The following is a 23,844-nucleotide window of genomic DNA, read 5'->3' on the forward strand; positions in this document are numbered from 1 at the left end:
CTCAATGTAATAAGTTGGCTGCAAAGAATGGGGAAGGAAGGTGGGGGAAGCATAAATTTCTGATTTTAATTTTTTTTTGTTGTTTATTTTTAGAGCTTCTCTCTTACAGAAAAAAAGTGTTTGCTTTTTTGGATTCTGAAGTAAAAATAACAGAACGAAGCCTTAGTGAATTCTTATACCGTGCCAGGCTCTGAACGCTTTATGCTCAAACAGCCCTCTGAAATAGGAAAGCTTTTATCCTTCATAGTTTTATAAATATGAAATTTGATGCACAGATTGCCTATGGAACTTACCCAAGGTCATCTGGCCTGTGTGTCAGTAGCCCAACTATGAATCCAGGTAGGTTTACTTCAGAGCCCAGCTCTTAATTCCAGTACTGTACCACTGTTATATAACAGAAAGATTTTCTGAGTTACAGATGCAATTTTAAATATTCTTGTAGTCACACTTAAAAAAGGAAAAAAGAAATGGGTGCAATTAATTTTAATAATATATTTTTATAGAACCAACTATGTCTAAAGTATGACCATTTCAATATGTAATCAATATAAACATTTTAATGAGATATTTTGTATTTTTTCATACTTCACTTTTAAATCCAATGTGTACTAAATGCTTCTGCAGATCTCAATCTGGACTTGCCACATTTAAATGCTTCATAGCCACACAGGGCTGGTGGCTGCCCCACAGAAAGCACAGCTTCACCATCTGTGCAGCTAAAGTCACTTGACATTCTATTTATATCTTCTATGTTTACATAATCTTTATTCTTTTTGTTTTGGTATCTTCAAGAATGTAGAGACCAGAGCACTAAAACTGAAAGTAACTTTGGGGGCCGGCGGGGAAGGAAGAAAACCCGTAGTAATATTGTTATTGTCTAGGGGTTTCTAATAATGCCTACAGAAACTGATGCTCTTAAGAGCATTTTCTCAGATTTCTGAAATCTTTTGAGTTCCATTGCATGCCCATTTAAGAACATGAGGCTCATTTACCATATTTCCCCCTTGGCCAAGCAGAAATCTAAAAATAAACTCTTAGTTCTTAGGTTTGACCTAACTCTTTATATAAATATCCGTTTGCAGTTGTTATTTTAGAAAAAAATTCAATCCCCTAAGTCTTTTGGTTAAAACTTTAGGAAACTGATTTCTCTCCTGAACACTTCCTTCCTCTAAACCACATAGAGTTTGGGATGTGGGGGAAGGAAGCAACAGTCACATTTTATTTTGTTTTTTGTGTTTCCCACAAGAGAACAAAAGAGACAACCCCCACTCCACAAAATTTTTCTGCCATTTCCCTTTTCACCACCAAATTTTAAATGATGATTCGTGTGTGAAAAATTGGTCCCTTGATATAAAATTGAACTGTAAACTTTGTAGAGCTTTGGTCTGAAAAAGAATATCTTATCAAGTTTGGAAGTGCCCTATGGAAAACTGCCATGTCACATTTTCCCCTTTCTGTATCTCTGCCAATGTTTCCCCAACACCCGATGCACAGCAGACAGCAATAGAGAGTGCTTGTTGAAGTAAATTTCTTTTAATTAATTGGGGGAAATTCGATACAAATTTTGGATTCACTATTTTAAAAGAAAAGTGGTTTGTTATTTCCAAGTATATTGATGGAAACAGGAGAAATATTTGCATGAGAAAGGAATGATTTGTGAGGAAGAAATGACCTAAAGATGAGTTGGAAACTACTGGAACTTACAAGGCTCATCAGCTTCTAGGGGGTTCCTCCTTGACCCTATCTTTAAATGAAATTTTAATATAAACAAAATGTAAAAATTAAAAATAAAACAAAATATTTAAAAATACGTGTACAATTTTGGTCAAGAGAGATGTTAAGGTAGGTAGGAAACTTAGCAAGAAAACATGGTTATATTTAACTGGATTAGAATGAAGGAATATATATATATGTGTGTGTACATATATACATATATAGTCATGCATTACTTAACAATGGGGATACATTTTGAGAAATAAATCATGAGGTGATTCCACCACTGTGCAAACATCATAGAGTGCTTACACAAACTTAGATGGTATAGCCTACTACATGCCTATATGGCATAGCCTATTGCTTCTAGGCTATAAACCTTTGCAGCTTGTGTCTTTACTGAATACTGTGTGCAATTGTAACACAGTGGTAAGTTTTTAATATGTAAACATATCTGAATATAGAAAAGGTAGTGCAAAAATACAGTATTATAATCTTATAGGACCAATAATCTTACAGGAACACCGTCGTAAAAGAGGCCCATCATTAACTGAAATGTCATTATGCAGTGCATGACTGTGTGTGTGTATTTGTGTGTATTTGAAGACATATCTTATACAAAACAATGGATTGGGAAAAATATATGCAGTCAGAATGCCATCAGAAGACATGTAAGTGATATTCCTAATGTACAAATGACTACTAAAAGAAGTTGTAAATAAAGAAAAGAAAATGGGCCACAAACATTGTATTTTCACTAGTGAATCAAGGAAATGAAAAATATAAGAAAATTAGATGGAATATTTCACACACCAGATAAGCAAAAATTTAAAGAAGAAAACACTGTCCAACATTAGTGAAGTAGGCCCTCTACTTAGCTGCTGGGAGTGTGACTTGCTCAAACCTTTTTAGAAATTAAACTGGAAATGGCTATTACAATTTAAAACATCATACACTTTTATTTAGCAATCCCAATTGAGGAATTACCAGTACATAAACACATGTCTATTAAAGGGTTTATTACTTATAAAGTAAAAGCTCTGTAATAAACAGGTGATTTTTCAGGTGGCAAAAACCTGAAAACAAGTTGAATGTTCATTACAGAGGGAATAGTTGAATAAATTATGATATGGTAATAATATGGGACATTATAGATCTATTAAAAATAATGATGGCCGGGCACGGTGGTTCACGCCTGTAATCTCAGCACTTTGGGAGGCCAAGGCAGGCGGATCACAAGGTCAGGAGTTCGAGATCAGACTGGTCAACATGGTGAAATCCCATCTCTACTAAAAATACAAAAATTAGCTGGGTGTGGTGGCATGTGCCTGTAATCCCAGCTATTCAGGAGGCTGGGGCAGGAGAATCGCTTGAACCCAGGAGGTGGAGGTTGCAGTGAGCCAAGATTGTACCACTGCACTCCAGCCTGGGCAACAGAGCAAGACTCCATCTCAAATAAATAAATAAAATAAATAAAAATAAAAATAATGAGATTTTGATGCATTATATAGGATGGTTAGTTTTGAGTGGCAGGACTCTGAGATTCTCCTGGCTTTCCCCAAATCACAATCTGGAGGAGAAAAGAGGGGCTTCCTCTTCCTGTCTCAAAAGCTATGCCTACCAAGCCTCACCCTTCCCATCCATACACAGAAATTTTTCTCTCAGTATCCAGTGGCCATGATTGGGACATTAAGTCTCTGTTTCAGGCCCAGTGTGGTGACTCACACTTGTAATCCCAGCAGGTGGAATGTGAAAAGGTGAGGCAGGAGGATCACTTGAGCCCAGGAGTTGGAGGCTGCAGTGAGCTATGATCACACCACTCACTCCAGCCTGTGCAACAGAGCCAGACCCTGTCTCTAAAACAAAACAACCAACAAGCCTGAGCTTCAGCAGCATTAGTGGTGGGAAATCAGGCCTTCCTATGGCATCTTCCCAGTGGGAGGTAACTTTCGCTGTGTGGTTTGAGGGACAAATCAACAGGGCACCCAGGAAGGTCTGTCCCATCCTGGTTTGAGAAGCCCCACTGTGCCCTCATCCAAAAGGAAGATCCAAGTACACACTTGGCTTGGGTTCTCCCCACTCCAGTTATCTTCTGGTTTCAGTCAGGCTGAGTGCCTGGCATTAATTAGGTACCCCAAATCTATTGCTTTTTCCTTTCATCTCATGCTTTTTAAAACTATTACAAAACTATATATATATTTTAAAAAACTGTTAATGTTAATTGAATATAAGATCCTAATGAGTTTAATTTGGTTATATAGTTATTTTAAGGTAGTGGAAATACAAAATGACACCATAATTTTAAAAACTGGTGGAAGGGTCAATAAGTCATCTGGCCTTATTTGGTTAGAATGCTCAAACAGAGAATTTGTACCTGAAAACATAAAGTGTAATTTAAAAAAAAGCCAAAAAACAATTTTAAGTAAATATAGTAGACTTTATAGAGATTTCCATGGACTGATAGCTACCAACAACATTAACACTAGCTATTTTTGCTCAAAACATTTTATCAAAGTATCTTTCATACCTGTGTGTAGGTTGTATAAAATCATAATTACTATTAAGGTCATATCTTCTCATATATATCTTAGAATTTAAAGTGATATTAATAAGCTGGATAATTTCCTTTAGGTAATAAATTTAACTTCAAAGAACATTTAGTGGCTTCAAATAAGAGTCTTCCTTTTAGGACATTGATTTGTCACTGTTCCAAAGTATGTGATGTTGACTTTGAAGGCAATTCCAAAAGAGGAGTTTCCAAAAATATTTGGACAATGATAACATCAATCAAATTAACCCACAGCCTCCCAAGATGACTACTTAGACTGAAACAACATTCATTTAAATGCAAAACTCTGGCATGTTTGTTAAAAATTAGTAACAATATATAATCAGACTCGAGAGAGAGTGAAAGAAAATAATTGGAAGTGGCTGGGCATTGTGGCTCATACCGGTAATACTAGCATTTTGGGAGGCTGAGGTGGGAAGACCACTCGGGCCTAGGAGTTCAAGGTTGCAGGGAGCTATGATGGCACTCTGCACTCCTGCCAGGGTGAGAGAATGACACCCTGTCTCTAAAACAAATAAACAACAAACAAAAGAAAGAAAGAAGGCAGTTGAAACAATTCAGGAGTGGGGAAGCTTCCACCTTCATGTGGTGAGGCATCAAAAATTTTAATGGTTTCTGCTGTTAAAATCTCCATTTTTCTGGCCTTGTTCTAAAATACTAGGGACTATGTTTCTATTTTTATTTATTTCTATGCTTACATTTTCAGGCCAGCAGTTAAATTCCTTTATTTGTTCATTTTTACGTCATTTCAAATAGAGTGTTTTAGGCAAAACTCCTCTCTAATTTTATTCCATAAAGTTGCTCTCTTCTTGAGAGTCCATAATTATAGTTTCAGGGCAGATAATGTTTTTCAATAAAGATTAAAATGAGTATTTTTTTCAGGTTTCCACCCTGGGCTGCTGTGTGTCCTACAACTCCAGGGGTAGGCTTGCCTTGCTCTTTTCAGATGACCCTGCACACACCACTTACTCCCAGTACACACAAATGGTACTCCCTGGGCCTGGGGATGCAGTAGCTTTGTCATACCTAATGTTATTTGTTGTGCTATATGTTTCAATCTTTAAAGCCTGAGATCCAAAGGGGAGCTTGCATAGCCATAATTATAATTTTTATATGGTTCTAAATACTTTGTCCACGATACTTCGAAAGTGATGTTCATGCCTAATGAGATTATTGTAAATAAATTATATTTTATTTTTACAGAAGAGTATGTTATTTATAAAATATGAAGCTAGAAAAAGATGCAACTTATTTTCAAAAAGATATATCAAGGAGAGCAAACGTGGAGCACAGATGTCAATCAGGGAGTCAGGCAACTTCTTCATTGATTGCTTCATGAAAACACATAGTGTTTAGAGGATTTCTGTCCAAGTAAAGCCATTTAATAAATAACTCCTATCCCAGAAATAGTGTTCAGAAATCTCCATTCTGATTTTCAATAGTCCCCAGCTTCTCTTGCAGTTCAGTTGGCCTAGATGAATGCTCCACCAATGACCACAAGCAGAGGAACAAAGCGAGCTTCAGACCAAGGCTGCTAACGGTCTCAATAGGTTCCCTCCATGTCTCTTCCCTGCTGTAGTAGCCCAGGAGACTCTATGCTCCAGACTTTGTTGCTCCAAGATGAGGAAAGGCTTCCTGACAGAATCAGACCGTGATGTGAGCTGATCTAGAATAAAACCTTTGTTGGATTACTCTACTGAGATTTGAGGGTCAATTTGAGACCATTAAGGCCCAGCCCATCCTAAGATAACAAAATATATGGTATTTGTAGATAGGGTATTTGATCAAATTATTACAAAACAATATGATCTGGGAAAACATGATCCATGTCCCCTTTAATTCTCTGCCTTTAGAGATTGTTGTGTAGTGTGTTTCACTTCAGGGATTTATTAAATAATCTGTGGAATGGGTACGTAACTACAAAATATACTATATATTGCACCACTTTCAAAGAAACATGGTATAATAAAATATCCAGCATTTTAAATTATATGGAAGAGAATTCACTTTACCATATATCTTAGGTTCTAAGTCACACCTGATTCCACATCTTAACCCTCTAACATTCAGATACATCTTACACACAATAGCATCTTAGATTTGATGAAAGATTTTATTTTTTAGCACTTGGAAGCACATTTAGATCCTCTATAACCTTCAGTTTATTATTATATAACTAGATTATCATTAACCTGTAATAATACTTGTTAACAGAGTGTCACACCATGATCTTTTTAAGTTGCAACAGCTACCGTAAAGCTGTTTCTTATACCTGTTCTGAATGTTCCATCCTGACTAACTCTCCATTTTTTGGAGTTCCGATCCTATCACGTGTTTCTTCCATTTTTACCCTTGCTTTTCACATGAGACTTTGCCCTCTGCATTGCTTTTCCAGCTACAACTTTTGTATCTTAACCACATTCTTTTTAAAATGTGGTCTCATAGAAGATTCAGTTTCCTCCTCTTCTTGCTCACCTTGGGCCTTGGACCCAGGGACCATGCTCCTTTGCGCTCAGTGAGGCCTCTTATTGCTGAGTCTTCTGCTGTGTTTATTCAAGCCCCGTGGTTCTTCAATATAAAAACCTCAGTGCAGTTGGGGAGAAGGTTGTAACAGCAATAGATTGCAAAAAACATCATTGCCTTCTTTGCCAAAGTTAGGTTTAATAATCAAACTTCATAACACTCTGGAAATTCCAGGAATACTTGAATTATCAAGCAATTCTCACAATTATTGGCCTCTTCAGAGGACCCAGAATCCCCAGGTAAATACAGTCTGAAAAATCTTGTTCATGAGTTTATCATTTAACAAATAGGCACCTTTAAACTTACCACACATAGTTTTATAGACTCAGCCTTGAAGCCACTAGCTGATACTCTGAGATCCTGTAGGAAATTACTACTTCATAAAGGTACTTTTTCCCCTAGAGAACCAGGATTAATATTTCAATAAGTTTTTTGAAAATACCATAGTAGTAATTTTTTTCCTTAGCGAAAATAAACTGAAGTGGGACCCAAAAAAATCCTAAATGTTTATTAACAAAAGAATAATTATGTATGTTATTTTCAAACTTTGTGATCGAATGAAACTATTAAAATAAAAACTAGAAAGCCAATGTTGATACATGAAAGATTACCATGAAATAATGTAAAAGAAAGCAGAGCGAGAGTTTTCTCTACTTTAAGGTTAAAATCACAGCCACAGTTCCAGAGTAAGGACTTTAGCTCTGGGGGTTGCTTTGAATTCAACTTAATCTAAACATTCTCTATTTTTTTAGATGGACTAACTGGGGAATGAGTGCTGTTGGGGATTCTATTTCTGTGACAACTTAAATAGCACTTCCAGAGAGGCAATAGTTGAACATATTGGAGTTTGTGACTGGTACTGTCACTGAGACTCAAAAGAAATATGGGCTAGGGAGGATGGAGAGGGTACAAGGGCTGTACATGCTGCTATTGGGAAGTTCGCCAAATAAGCCAGAGAGAGCACCATGATTCATAAGCTTGGTGCAGCGACACTGGTAGAGGTTTGGGTGAGAGGTGAAGACAGGAGGCAAGGGTAGAGGCCATTTTGATTGCAATATTTAGCGAATATCACTTGGATTTTCTTCAAACTCAACCTCTCTCCATAGCCTTTTCCCCCCATTCTCAAGCACTTGTGCCAAGTTTGAAGAGAAGCTAAAAATGGAAAAGAAGTCACATAAATGAGCTGAACAATGTGTGTGTGTGTGTGTGTGTGTGTGTGTGTCTGTGTGTGGATGTGTGCGTGCTACAAAGAAGGTAAGAACTTTCTGTCTTGTATTCTAAAAAGAAGTTTTGATAATGTTGAGAGTAGAACCATTTTTCTATTCAGAGTAGTAAAGGCTGGTATAGAAGTGAGGCCAGACTCATTTCTATTACAGAGACTCAAGCTGTGGTCAGAACAGATGCAATTAGATACAAGAGAGGAATGGCATGGCCATTTGGAAACACATCGTTCCTGAATTAAATGGGAGAATACCTATTTTGCCACTACATTTTTAATGTGTATATTTACTACATATTGTCTAGGGAAACATGAGTTATATAACTACATAAAGATACACATAGCAGAAGACGCTGACTAGGACTATTCTTAAAGTCCTGGAACATGTGAGAGTACTTTGAAGTTGTAGACTGTATACATTAGTTGTTAAAAACTTGGGCTTTAGAACAAGACTACCTGGGTTTGAGTCCTGGTTGCACCACTTCCTGATGTAACCTTCAGCAGATTCTGTAAACTTCTTTGTGCTTCAGTTTCTTCATCTTTAAAATGTGGTTGTGTGAGAATTAAATAAGCTAATACATATAACACGATAAGAATGGTTTCTGGCACGCAAAGTTTAGCTGTGAGGTGGTAATAATGACTGTGATCATGACAATGACTAGGGCTCAAAGCTGATGAAATAAAAGCCAGTTAATGACCTGTATTTCAAAGAAAATATCCAACAATTGGATCTAGGCATCTCTATAACTCATTTAGAAGTCTTGCCTTGTGAGCTTCAGTGACTACATAAAAACTCTTTGCCTTCTCTCACAGACATATTACATACACACACACACACACACACACACACACACCCACACACATATATACATATTTGAGACAGAGTCTTGCTCTGTTGCCCAGGCTGAAGCGCAGTGGCATGATCTTGGCTCACTGCAACGTCTGCCTCCTGAGGTTCAAGCAATTCTCCTGCCTCAGCCTTCCAAGTAGTTGTGATTACAGGTGTCTGCCACCATGCCTGGCTAATTTTTGTATTTTTAGTAGAGACAGGGTTTCACCATGCTGGCCAGGCTGGTCTTGAACTCCTGACCTTGTGATCTGCCCACCTTGGCCTCCCAAAATGCTGGGATTACAGGCATGAGCCACTGTGCCTGGCCTACATATATTATTTGGGGGTACTTCTGGGTACTATTAACAGAATGCAGAACAGTCGTAACACAATAGTGATTTACATTTTGCTCACATAAAATCCATGTGTGTATTATTGGTCAGCAATGGCTTTTCTCTATGGAGTCAATTAGGAATCAAAGCTTCTTGCATTCTGTATCTTGACCATCCCTCAGGGCATTAAAGTCCTCTTCATCCAATTGCAGAAGAGAGCAGAGAGAAGTTACCGCTTCTTAAAGGCTTGGGCCCGGTGCAGATACATCACCTTCATTTGTATTTCATTGGTAAGACCAAGTCGCATGGTCCTACCTACATGACAGGGGGGCTGGGAAACACAGTCTTTGAATGGGTCATGGTCTCTTAGAGACATATATACATCACGAAAGGGGAGCATGCATTTTCATAGGCAGCTGGCTCTCCCTTCAACAAAAGCAAAGAGGGAGAGAGATTTGAAGAGAAATCGTGAATTGCAAGAAGGGGACAACAGGCATCTCATTCTTGACTAAATGTTTATTGAGCTGCAGAACTGGTAGAGCCACCCGACACATCCCCTGGACAGAACATGAGGGAGATCTCAGGAGATCTTGATGTTTGTTCCCTGGAGTTAGGGGTCCAAATGTGAACATGAAGACTGGTGCTTATTTCTCAGCCGGTCATTTCATAAGGCAGAAGCCTCACTGGAGCAGCTGCATCAGTGGAGTCACCAGGGTTGTAGGTTACATGGGAGGAACATGAAGGGAACATGGCCACCTGATGGACTAACTCCTAGTCCATCAGGGGTCCCACACAAGGACCTCAGGAGCTGCCATGGCTCAAGATCCTGTCTCAAAGAAACAACAACAACAACAACAACAAAAGAAGGTGCATAACACTTGAGAAAGAGGCAGCAGAAGATGTAGATGATATGGAGCTGTTCAGATGATGCCCTCCCTTATGGAGGGGTTTGGAGGCATAGGTCCCTGTTGTAGCCAAAACAGAGATATGGTTGATCCTTTCTGAAGGGTTATTAAGTAAAGGAGAGATCACAGCAAAGCTGAAGAGTGCCCCTAAAAAATTGTGCATAACAATTATGTAGAGAGTCTCACATTGGTGGAGACTTCGAGAAATAGATTCTAGGGTCACCTTCCCTCAGCATCGGGCAGCCAGCTATGTATGACCCCTGCCATTTCTTCTATTTCTTCTTCCCATGTGACAGCTCACTGGAAGAGGGATGGGATGAGTAAAAGAGCAGACCATGTCTCTTAAGAACTACAGACACCCCCAGGTTAAAGACTAAGCCTTAGCTATGGGGAAGAAGAAATACAACAGTAGAATTTGAAATGTGAAGAGTTGAATGAGGCTGTTCTAATATCTAAAAGGGACCAGAAAGCTACAACATCTTCCAGAGATACAATTAGGGGATTAAAAAAAATCTTCAGATTATGGTTAAGTACAGTGATGGGAACAAAACAAAAATCAGAGCCCCCACCAACATATCAAGTATGTCCACATCAAGACAAACCTGCTGGGTAAACAGGTTTCCTAAATGCATAGGTAGAAAAGCCGGCATGCGGACTGGAAGACACCATTTTCTCTCTACTGTCTGAACTGATTGACTCATATGGAGTCCATTAACTCTTATTTGCCAGCTTGGGTTTACCATAGAGAGGAAGGGACTGTGTGCCTGTTAAGCTTTGTAACATATCAGAGACCAAGTGGTATTTTTGTGGGGCATTTGTAACTGAGTACATCAAAGTGCAGACAGAGGGAGGAAGAAACTATTTTTCTTTTTCCATATGGCATTGAGAGCCTTGGTGCTGGTAGGATTGACAGAGACCTGTTCTTTGGAGGAGCAGAGACCAGGGAGAATCTTGGGAATTTAAATATTTAAGAGGGATATTTTAGGATCCAGGAACTCCTTCACAAGCAAGTGAGGCCTTAAAGCTAATGAAATTCAGTTTGATGATTTAAATGTTTTCATTTATATCTATAAACTGGTGAGGCATTAGGACATATGGAGTTCAAGGATGAATAATTAAGAGGAATATTTATTCATCATTCATTTTTATCAAAATATTGAATACCTACTATGTGTCACACACAAAGTTAGATGTTGGGCGTACAATCAAGGGTAAAAATTTCATGTTCAACTGGGCTAAATTTGTGAAAACAAGTATAGAGAGCTTTAAATAAGTTACCTGATCTGGCCTGAGGGTGAAGAGGATGGCTCAAGGAAGTGACACAAATGTTCAGTGTGTTAGGGTAATGGGAAACAGTGTTTTTATGTTTAGAAATTCCTTTAATGTTTTAATGCTCTTTCATAATAAATAATAATCATAAAATAAAAGAAACAAAAATCTTGACATAGTGAACAAAATGAAAACTGCTTTAAAAGAACCTCACATTTCTCCTTGTAGTCTAAGTAAATCAAAAATTATTTAACTCTCTGATGAAAGGTCTTCGTCACCTAATTTCTACTTTTACTTCTTAATCCAAAGCATCTTTCATTTGTTCATTTCCCCTTTCTTTTATTCCATTTCATGTTGGGTCCTGCCATATCCTGTTCACTTCCCCCTTGAAACAAATCACCTTAAATATTTCTTCTTGGCCTATTCTGTAATTTCAAAATCCTAAGTAGTTTCAGAGGAAGAATATTAAACACAGTTGTGGTTCTGTCACCTTTTCTTGTTATATCCTGAAAAATTAAGAAAAAGATGGCTGCTGTGGCTTTAAGGAATAAATCAAGTTAGCTGAGGAACTCAACAGGCAGGAGTGCTTTGAAAGCAAATGATGAGTCTCTCGTGATTCTCAAGTAAAGCCTGAGAAAGTAGATTTAAATGCCCTGGTGTACTATAGAAGAGGCTGAAAAAACACTGACACAGGCATTCAAACACTGACACAGGCATTCAAATCAGAGCATCCTCAATTCACACCTGTTTTTTAAACCCATGCGTGCGCACACACACACACACACACACACACACACACGTTACATGGAACGTTTCCTACTAGCCTGTAAACTGAATATAGGCTAAAAAGGTAGAACTATTAATAAATTTAGACCTTAATATTAACTGAAACATTTAGGTGGTGAGTGATATAAAATTTTCCTCCTGAAAATTAGAGTTTTCTCTTCATTTCAATGTAATAGCAATGAGCAGTCCACCTCAATGCTGTATATGTGATTCTCCTAGCTTCATTATATAGATATCAATATAATTGCAGGAATATTACAAATATTAAAGACAAATAATAATATTCTCATGGACTCACTTAGGTGCTTGAATTGAGGCAGCCCTCAAAATTTTTCATAATCCCATCCAACTTCCATTTGACTCAGATCAGAGTTCCTGACAGTGGCTGTCAAGAAAGAAATGGGACCTTTGGCTGGCGTGGTGGCTCATGCTTGTAATCCCAGAACTTTGGGAGGCTGAGGTGGGTGGATCACTTGAGGCCAGGAGTTTGAGACCAGCCTGGGCGGCATGTATAAAACCTGTGTCTACTAAAAACACAAAAATTAGACAAGTGTGGTTGTGGGTGACTGTAATCCCAGCTACTTGGGAGACTGAGGCATGAGAATTGCTTGAACCCAGGATGTGAAGGTTGCAGTGATCCGATATCATGCCACTGCACTCCAGTCTTGGCAACAGAATGAGGCTGTCTCAAAAATAACAATAAAAATAAAGAAATGGGACTTTGAATATGATTTCAAAGCATAGGAAAAAGTATGGAGTAAAGAAGAAAAAACACAGATAAGGAAGAAACACTAGAAAGTTCTTTTCCTCTATATTGACTGGATAAAATAAATAACAGTATTTGTAGATACTGCATTTGCTGATTATAAAACAACTATTTTGCTTTCTACACAAAATAGCTTTTTTTCTTCGGAGTTGTATGCTAAGCAAGAGGTCTCTGCTTAGGAAACCTATTTGAAAATATAATAAGATGTATTTCAGTAGGGAGAGAACCAACTAAAACATGAAAAAAATATTTTATAAAACTCAATAAAATACTAATGATTTTGCAAAAAAAAGTGGACTTTCATGAATGCTTAATGCAGTGTTCACAATATGGACAAAATTTTTACCTCTCTTTTCACTTAACATGGTATCAAGAGCATTTTCTTAAGTCTCAACCTTAACTATATACCTTCTTAACATGTGTATTTCTTCAAACCCAGTATATAGCTGCACGTGTGGGCTAGATTTGGGGGATATAAAAAATGTGGAGAAACTTTTCTGTTAATTGGTTTGTTGGACATCGTTGGATACTGTAAGATACTGTTACACAGTATAAGACAAAGATTGACAGATGGAATCCCAAAATATTGGGAAAGTTGAAGTTTGTTCTTTGTGAGAAAGAACTATTCCGCTAACTGACCCTCAGAGACTTATCCACTCTATTTATAATGCTGGAGCCTAGTGAGCCTCCCCAGCTTGCGGGATAAGGGGGGCGTTATCTTGCCAGATAGGATTTAAGAATGAAGGAGCAGAGGGTCTCTTTCTTCCAAAAATGATGGTGGGTGAAACTGAGCTCAGCATGCCAAATTTACCCTTAAATTCCCAGTATGATAGATTTCTCTGCTCCCCAGGAGAAAGGGAGTAAAGGAACAGAAATAGGGCAGAAGTGTTTAGGGAAAATCCCTCCTCATAGAAACCAGAACAGCTGAGAAAACGTGTTTCTCTCTAGTGGAAATGACTCCTTAATCCCCTTGGATTTTTTCATTCAACACTCTTGGTGGCTTCAGCACATGGTTCAAGGTGGCTTTGAGGGATTAAGCATCAAAAATCTAAGAAGTGTAATGCAGTGTAATTGGTAGCACTGTTTTGTATTGCTTTGAATCCTAATGTTTTCTTTTGGGTCCTATGCCCAGAGCTGTGTTAATATGCTTGAATGTTTTAAGCTTATTTTAACTAGCCACCACTGGTAAGAATGCTGACAAGTAAGCCACTAAGATCCACATACTTGACTTCAAATGGTCTAGTTCCACAAACAAATCAATGACACTTTGTCTTGCTTTACAGATGTTTGTTCAAATATATCAGTTACATCATTGTTCAGAATTTTACACCCCAGAGTTTATTCTAAAGACAGATGAAAGATATGTTTCTGAGTTCTTAGAAGTATGGGAAATATTATTCATACAAGATATAAACAATAACATTTCTGTAGACATTTACTTTTCTGTTACTATGTATAATGTGTATATATATATATAAAATACAGGCTGCTAAGTGTATTGTCCACTATGAGGACCAAGTGGGTTATGATTGCCAAAGTTGAAGCTGTTTTAGTAAGAAAAACAATTAGTGAGAGATCTCAAAGTTAAACTGTCTCTATGCCAAATAAAAAAATATGTGTTTTGCAAAACCTACAAATCTTAGTTTTCAAATGATATTGAAAAAACAAACATGCCTGAAGTACAAATGTGATAGGTGTTATTGCCTCAATTCTTACTGACTTCTGATAAACAAGTTTTAAAACAAAAGCAGAGAGAATATTAAATGACATCTTATGATGAAGGAGTTTTACCAGGAGTCTTTTGCATTTAGTGATTTGGTGGCCTTTGAAGATTTCTTACAATTTAGGGAGGGGAATTGTTCTTGGCTGAGGTCCATGAGTACATGTGGGGACTGAGAGAGGCTGACCAGAATTCTAAAATAAGTCTGTGTTTATAGTACTCACAAATCACAGCTGACTTGTGGTTGAGGCTGTTACCCTTCATTTCTAGAAAGGTGCAAGGGTGCCCTCTGGGGCCCTGGTGAGAAAGTTTTTCCTCACACTTTCTTGAATTATCTGGGCCATCAAATCAGAAACCTCAGAGGCCATTGGCAAGGTTTTAGCCAGCTGAAGTGGAGCCTGCGAAGTGGTCGCAACAGCACGATCAACTGAAGTCGGGATTGCCAGTAATTGCCAATTCCACCTCTAATTGTCCTCTAGGCCCTTCTAACAATGTGTGACATTGCCGTGCTGGCCTGCCCATCCCTCAATCAGAATGCCAAACTGCTACTTTAATGACAGGTTGACTTGTGTTGTGACTCTTTTGGTAATAATAATAATGTTCTTTGCAAAACCACACAATACTGTTTCTTAAAGTGCCCTCAAATTACATCATTTGTTGCATTAGCCATAGAGACTATAGAATCTGAAGAACATTACAGATGATCTAATTTAACCTATTTGTTCTGTTAAAAAGGAAATGGAGGGTGAGGACTAATGTGACACAACTTTACTACCACAAGATTTGAATCCAGAATTTGTTATTCTGAATCCAAATTGAGCAAAGTTTCCATTACACAATGTTTACAGCAAATGTGGGCATGAGACAGGATACATATTATTCCCAGTTTATAGATGAAGCTATTGAAGATCATGAAGGTTAAGTGACTTATACATGGGCACATGACCAAGTCAGGACAAAGCTAAGAAGGAACTCACTTCCTTTGATTCCCAGTTAGTGTTTTTTACAAACACACATATGCATGAACACAAACTCAGAAACTGAGATACAAATCTTCCATTAACCAGCTGGTCAACTATTAATCATTTACTGAGCATCAGATATTTTCCTGGTCAGTAGGGATATTTTTAAACAGGACAGAGTCAGGATTTCCAGGGTGTGTCAGCCAGCATCCAAAGTGCCCCCCAAATGATTTTTGCCTCTTTATATATATATCATATGAATATATATTCATATATATTCAATATATATATTCATGTGATATATATATTTTATATATATATATATTTCTACCCTAGTCTAGTCCTTTCTCACATTGAATAGGGATGACCTGTATAAACTATAGGACAGTGCTGGAACAACCATGTGTTACTTCCAAGTCTAGATAAAAAAGCACATTGTGATTTCTGCCTTGCTTTCTCTTGGATCACTTGCTCTTGGGGAATCCAGCTGCCATATTGTGAGGACACTCCAGCAGCCCTGTGGAGAAATCCATGTGGCAAGGAATTGAGACCTCTGTCTGGTCACCAGCATAAACCTGCCTACCATGTGTGTCAGCCATCTTAAAATCAGATTTTCTAGCCCCAGTCAAGTCTTCAGATGACTGCAGCCCTGGCTGACATCTAACTGCAACCTTGTATGAGACTCTGAGGCAGAACAACCCAACTAAGCCACTCCCAAATTCTTAACTCACAAAAAAGTATGTGAGATAATAAATGATTGTTGTTGTTTCAAGCTGCGAAGTTTTACATAATTATGCAGTGATTGATAACTAATATTGAGGAAGTGATAAACACATAATAAATAAAATAATTTCAGATGTCAATAGTGTTATGAAGAAGATAAAGGAGAACAATATGATAGAGGAATGGGGGAAAAGCTGCTTTGCTAAGACTGGGAACCTCTCTGAGGAAGTAACACTTGAGACAAGACTGAGCATAAAGAAGCAATCATGGCTGGGTGCGGTGGCTCATTCCTGTAATCCTAGCACTTTGGGAGACCGAGGTGGGAGAATTGCTTGAGGCCAGGAGTTCAAGACCTCAAGAACAACTTGGCCAACATAGCGAGACCCTGTCTCTTAAAAAAAATCAATCATGAAAAGATCTGAAGGAAAAGAAACCCAGAAAGAAGCAGGAGTAGGGACAAAGACCCTGAGTCAGGAAGATTGGCATGTTTGAAGCACAGAAAGCTACCCAATTTGGCTGGAGGATGGTGAATTGGGGAGAAAGTTGAGCATGGTAAAATCAGAGATACAGGAAGGGGCTAATCACAAAAAGCCCTGAAGGTAATGGAAAGTCATTGGAGGATTTGTGGCTAGAGGAGGCACATGATCTGATTTAAACGTTGGAAAGATCTTTCTGGCTGTGTGTAGGCACTGGATAGTCGGAGGGTGGGAACGCATACAGAAAGAGAAATTAGAGGCTGTTGCAGCTGTTCTGAAAAGTGATAGTTGCCAATTGAACTAGGGTGGCAGCAGTGAAGTGGTAAGAACTGGTTGGACTTGGGATATATTTTGAAGATAGGGCTGACAGGACTTGCTAATGGAATTGGTGTGGGGTATGTGGGAAAGGGAAATTAAGGACAACTCAGCTGTGAGCCATGTGGTTGAGAAACCACTGTTGACTTCAGGTTTTTCATGTGAAAAAAAAAAAGGTAATAACTGGACCTATCTTTGTGATATGACATACTTTATTGGACATTTCTTTAAAAAGCATTCAGCATTCAGCAGCTTCAAGAGATTCTTACTGCTCATGACCTCACTCAAGTTTATTAGAGTTGTTTTGCTTGGGAAGGCAGCAAATACTGGCAGATACCTGGCTGTGTGAAATGAACTCTTTTCTCTTAAATTATTGTGTCTTATGGAGACTTTTATTTAAGGCTTTCTGAGTTCCAGTTATAGTTACTTCTTCATGAAGATAACACTAAAAAGCAGCTTATTTCTCTATTGCTACGTTCTTTCTGCATAGAAAATATGGTCCTGATAAATATGAAAATCAAAAGGCAGTTTTCACTGGAATACAATCAAGCCTTGTGAAAAATCTTAGGCATTCAGCACCTATTTTTAATGTCAGCATGTATTTTTAACAATAACACCTCATGATTTGAAAATGATAAGGCACACAACTATGGGTACTGTTTATGGTTGAAAACTAATAGCAAGTTCTCTTATACTTTATCCTGCAAGGGAAAGACCAGCATGGGTCACTGTGGCCATATTATGTTACAGCCCCGTAAATCAGCTGTTCTCTCACTCATTCACACACACAGATCCTAGCTACTTAATATACAGTTAAGCACATTCTCTAAAACAAAATTAAAATTCATTCAAATGCCGAACAGATGTGAATAAAAAGAAGAGGGTAGTTTAGAAATATTTCCGTTGCTATCAGCAATTATTTTGTTCCATGAATGGCATTGGCTATTGGTGTGGAATGTGAATAAAGCTGGTTTGGTTACTGTGGGAGTTGGAACAACAGCAAGTTTCCCATTTTCAGTCCATGAGATTGTTTATTGAAAGTTCATTATGCTTTTCAAGCTATATTTTAAATAAAGCATCAAATTAAAATAAAAAATATTTTATATAGATAAGAAAAGGATTTTGTTCTACACATTCACATAGATATGGTCATATACAAAATGCTACAAAAGCTGATTTTTAGAATACATTTTTTGAAATATTCCTAAACCTAAAAATAACTACAGCAATAAAAATTATTGCTATCTTTATTAGTACAAAAATATCCCCTTGAACCACATTCAAACAGACAAATCAAATAATTAGAAATTGGTTTGTACTTGTAAGGTACATTTTATTTAAATAGTACTATTAGTTTACTGGAAAATTAGAAAACATAAATGTACTCCAGCTAATCAATTATGTATACCAGTGATTTTAAAAATGCAGGGTAATATGAAGAAATCTGGTGGGTGGAAATGAACTTTCTAAGTACAAAATTTTTATTAATAGGGGCCTCATTTTATAAGGAGTCCATCCAAATGAAATGTCAACCAACTCATGGGAAAGACCAACATGATGATCAAAGGAGACAAAGGAAGTGAATATTACTCTTGAAATTAAAACATGATTCTAATAGAAAAACTGGAATCAGAAAGGCTGACATCTCATATTAACCATGAATGACACTGGGCTACATATATATCTAACTTACAAGGAAACAAAACATTGTGTAATATAACTATATTAGTCAGAGTTCCCCAGGAAAACGGAACCAATAGGATGTGTATATATATATATATATATATATATATATAGAGAGAGAGAGAGAGAGAGAGAGAGAGAGAGAGAGAGATAGTGATTTATTTTAAGGAATTGGCTTAGTGTGATTGTGTAGCCTGACGAATCCAAAATCTACAGGATAAGCCAGCAGTCTAGACACCCAGGAAAAAGTTGATATTGCAGTTTGAGGCTGAAGGCAGCCTTTTGTAGAATTTCCTCTTCCTTAGGAGAGGTCAGTTTTTTTTTTCTTAAGACTTTTAATGATTGAATGAGGCTCACTCACATTATGGAGGGTAATCTGCTTTACTCAAAGCTTACTTACTGATTTAAATGTTAATCTCATGTAGAAAATGCCTTCATGGCAAAATCCAGATGTGTTTGACCAGACATCTGGGAACTGTGGCCTAGCCAAGTTGACACATAAGATTAACCATTACAAGAATATGGTAAATCAGTTCTCTCACAGATTGATGGTAAATGTACTAACTCTTCAATAATTCAAACAATTTGAATGTTTTATCAAGTTTCAACATATTTACAGTTTTTTTAAGCCAAATAGTTATGTTTCTATTCTATGGAAGTAAACCTAAGTGCATACACAAAGAGCATAAATCATAAAGGAAAAGATTAATGAGTGCAATATATTAAAATTAAAAATTTGTGTGACATTAGACATCATACACAGGTTGAAAGTAAGTAATAAGGCCGGATGTGGTGGCTCACACCTGTAATCCCAGCACTTCGGGAGGCTGAGGCTGGAGGATCACGTCAGTTCAGGAGTTCGAGGCCAGCCTGACCAATATGGTGGAACCCTGTCTCTACTAAAAATACAAAAATTAGCCAGGCGTGGTGTCATGCGCCTGTAGTCCCAGTTGCTCAGAAGGCTGAGACAGGAGAATTGCTTGAACCTGGGAGGCAGAGGTTCTAGTGAACCAAGATTGTGCCACTGCACTCCAGCCGGGGCAACAGACAGAGACGCCATCTCAAAAAAAAAAAAAAAAAAGGAAAGTAAGTAATCAAACAAGAAAGGTATGTGGGACACACAGCAGACAAAAGATTAGTAACCAGAGTACATAGAGAGCTCTTACACTCCTACAGTCAATGAGAAAAAGATTTAAAATCCAATGGAAAACGAGCAAAGGTTAAAGGGCAATTCTTGAAAGAGGACACCTGAATGACTAGCAATCATTTGAAAGAATATGCAGCCTAAATTGTAATTAGAGAAATGCAAATTAAGACAACAGTCAATTTTCAAACTATCAGAAAGACCAAAATTAAAAGTTTAACAATGCCAGCTGTTGGTAAGAATATAAATTGTCATAACTACATTGGAGAATAGTTTACCAATACCTAGGAAAACTGAAGATATGTATACCTTAAAACCTTAAAATTCTCCTCCTAGGTCTATGTAATGTAGGGAAATGTTGGCACATGAACATAGATATGCAGAAAGAATATGTATTATTTGTAGTATTATTTATAAATTCAGAAAAGAGCACATAATTTATGTATCCATCAGCAGAAAAATACATATAGCTTGATATAGTTAGCAAATAAAATATTGTATGGCAATTTAAATAAACTAGATTCATATATATCAGCATGGGTTTATCATGAAAACATGTCATGTGAAAAAAGCAAGTTACAAAATTATATATATCGTATGCTTTCCCTTATCACAACTTTAAAGACATTTAGTTGAGAAAGTCGAGTAAAAGTTTAAGAAATTATATCACTATATTATAGCATACTATGTTACACTATACTATACATGCATATGTAGTAATATTATTTTTTAAAGGAGAGCAAAACATCCACCAACATTAAAATATTGTTTATCTTTACAAAGATGGTGAGGGCAATGGGTGGCTGTGTGTGCATGTGGGCACTCATACTGTGTAAAAAGAAGGGAGTGAGGAGGTACAAAAGGGCTTTAACTGAATATGTAATGTTTTATTTTTTTAAACAGAAACAAGTTCAGCAAATATGGCAAAGTAATATGTTAAGAATGTACAACACCAAGAGTGAACCCTAAGGTAAGCTTCAGGCTCTAGGTGATAACGATGCATCATTCTAAGTTCGTGGATGTTTAAATATGTACCACTTTGGTGCCAAATGTTAATAGTAAGGGAGGCATATGCAGGGGCAGAAGGTATACGTGGACTCTCAACTTTCTGTTCAATTTTGCCGTGAACCTAAAACTGCTCTAAAAGTAGTTTACTAATTGAAAATAATGTTAGGTGATGTTTACACTTTAAAAATTATTATTTGGAGATAGACAAATATTTTAAAAATTTAATAACAATATTAGTTTTAGGTCACTTCAAAATTTTATTTCAGGTGCATGCATTACTGCTATGTTAAATATAAATATAAATAAACTTGAAAATTTACGTCTCAAAAAGCTAAGATTGATATTTCTTGAGGGGAGGTCATTTTAGATGATATACATGTACTTATTAGATATATGTAAATATATATGTGTATATGTATGTGTATGTATATACAGTCATATGTCACTTAATGACAGGGGCAGTTCTGAGAAATGCATCATTAGAAGATTTTGTCTTTGTGCAAACATCACAGAACGGTATTTACACAAACTTAGATGGTATAGCCTACTACACACTGAGGCTCTATAGAATAGCCTAAGCTCCAAACCTGGATAACATGTTACTGTACTGAATATCGTAGGCAATTGTAACACAATGGTAAGTATTCATGCATCTAAACATATTTAAAAATAGAAAAGATACAGTAAAATTACAGAGTAAAGATAAATAAGGGTACATCTATTTAGGGCACTTAATAGGAATGAAGCTCTCAGGACTGGAAATTGTTCTGGGTGAGCTGGTGAGTGAGTGGAGAGTGAATGTGAAGGCCTAGGATGTTACTGTAGATGATATAAACACTATACATTTAGACCACACTATATTTATAAAAACAGTTTTCCTTCTTCAATAATAAATTAACTTTAGCTTACTGTAGCTTTTTTACTTTGTAAACTTAATTTTTTTAACTATTAAACTGTCTTATAAATATTTAGCTTAAAACACAAACACATTGTACTTCTATACAAAAATGTTTCCTTTCTTTATATCCATTTTCTGTAAGTTTTTGGTTTTCAAATTTTATTATTACTTTTTAAAAACTAACTAAACTTTTTTGTTAAAAACTAAGGCACAAACACACATTAGTGTAGTCCTACACAGAGTCAGGATCATGAATATCACCGTCTTTCACCTCCACGTCTTGTCCTACTGGAAGGTCTTGAGGGATAATAGCACACATGGAGCTGTCATCTTCTATGATGACAATGACTTCTGGGATCCTCCCTGAAGGACTTGCCTGAGGTTGCTTTACAGTTAACCTTTAAAAAAAAGTAAATAGAAGGAGTATTCTCTAAAATAATGACTAAAAGCATAGCATAGTAAATACATAAACCAGTCACATAATCTTTATTATCAAGTATTATGTATTGCACATAATTGTATGTGCTATAATTTTATATAACTGGTGGTGCAGTAGGTTTGTTTTCTCCTTTATCACCAAACACATATGGGTAATGGGTTATGCTATGATGTTATGACATACCTAGGTAGGAATTTTTCAGCTTCATTATAATCTCATGGGACTGCCGTTGTAGATGTGGCCCCTTGATGACCAAACATTGTCATGAGGTACGTGACTATACATACACACACACACACACACACACACACACACACACACACACACGTAAATACATACACATACAAACATATTTTGCATTTCAGTAACATACTTTTCGGTTTTGCAACTTAAAATATTAATGTTTAAGCTTTTTAGGTCAAATGTGAGTGGTGTATGTATCAAGTATTTGCTTTATCATCTTTGTAAGGAAAAACATGTGATTTCCTCAATGCTTTTAGTTGACTTTCTCACTCTACAGCTCTCATAGGATTCTATAGTTTATTCCCAAACTTCAGTCACTGTTTCTTGTTGCTAGCTAAATAGGAACCTCAAGATAAAGACAAAATTACATATGATTGCTAGAAACAAATGAATCTCTTTATTATTGATAACAGAAAAGTTACTTAGCTCTTGAACAGAAAGGTTTCAGGATATTCCAGTGCAATAGTTCTATAGCTGCAGTTTTTAAAAATTCTGGCTGGGTGCAGTGGCTCACGCCTGTAATCCCAGCACTTTGGGAGGCCGAGGCAGGTGGATCATGAGGTCAGGTGATCGAGACCAGCCTGGCCAACATAGTGAAACCCCATCTCTACTAAAAATACAAAACTTAGCTGGGCATGGTGGTGGGCACCTGTAATCCCAGCTACTCGGGAGGCTGTGGCAGGAGAATCGTTTGAACCCGGGAGGCGGAGGTTGCAGTGAGCCGAGATTGTGCCATTGCACTCCAGCCTAGGTGACAGGGCGAGACTCCATCCCCCTCCCCGCCCCCAAAAAAATCCTAATGCCTAGGGACATCTCATACCAGCACATCAATCTCAGAGTAGGATCTGGCATCAGTATTTTTTAAACTTCCTAGGTATGCGACCAAAAGTCTTTTGATAATGTGTAATTCAGAACTGTAACTTTTCTTCTTCTCTCTTGAAGAAAGGTATGTCATATGAGATTTTACACTTAGATTCCTATAGCAGCCATGATAATGCCTAAAATTGGTATGGTCTTCACAGCTTTGAACCTTATGAACTCTATAACTCTTTGAATTCATAATGGGTCAGGAGCATGACCCCTTATCTTGTTAGATTTATCTTATGAATACTGCTTTACTTATGTATGTTTTTTGTTGCTAATGGCAACAGCATCTAATATTTCAAGTTTTGGCCAAAAATAATATCACAAAAATAGGTTATTTTGAAAAAAGTTACAAATACTTACCTAGAGGGACTTTTAAGAATGATTAGTTCTTAGTTAAAACTGAAAATCTGCAGTTAAGAAACCTCATTTATTTAAATATCTGGATGATATTTATA

General features: G+C 37.0%; 1 annotated feature.

Moving 5' to 3' along the window:
• Positions 649-848: an enhancer, noted in NCBI's record as "active region_24735". NCBI's record gives its function as "activates an Ori minimal core promoter by ATAC-STARR-seq in GM12878 lymphoblastoid cells {active_cell/tissue: GM12878}" and the evidence as "EXISTENCE:reporter gene assay evidence [ECO:0000049][PMID:35858748]".

Source organism: Homo sapiens, chromosome 6 (genome assembly GCF_000001405.40).
Source record: "Homo sapiens chromosome 6, GRCh38.p14 Primary Assembly".
NCBI lineage: Eukaryota > Metazoa > Chordata > Mammalia > Primates > Hominidae > Homo > Homo sapiens.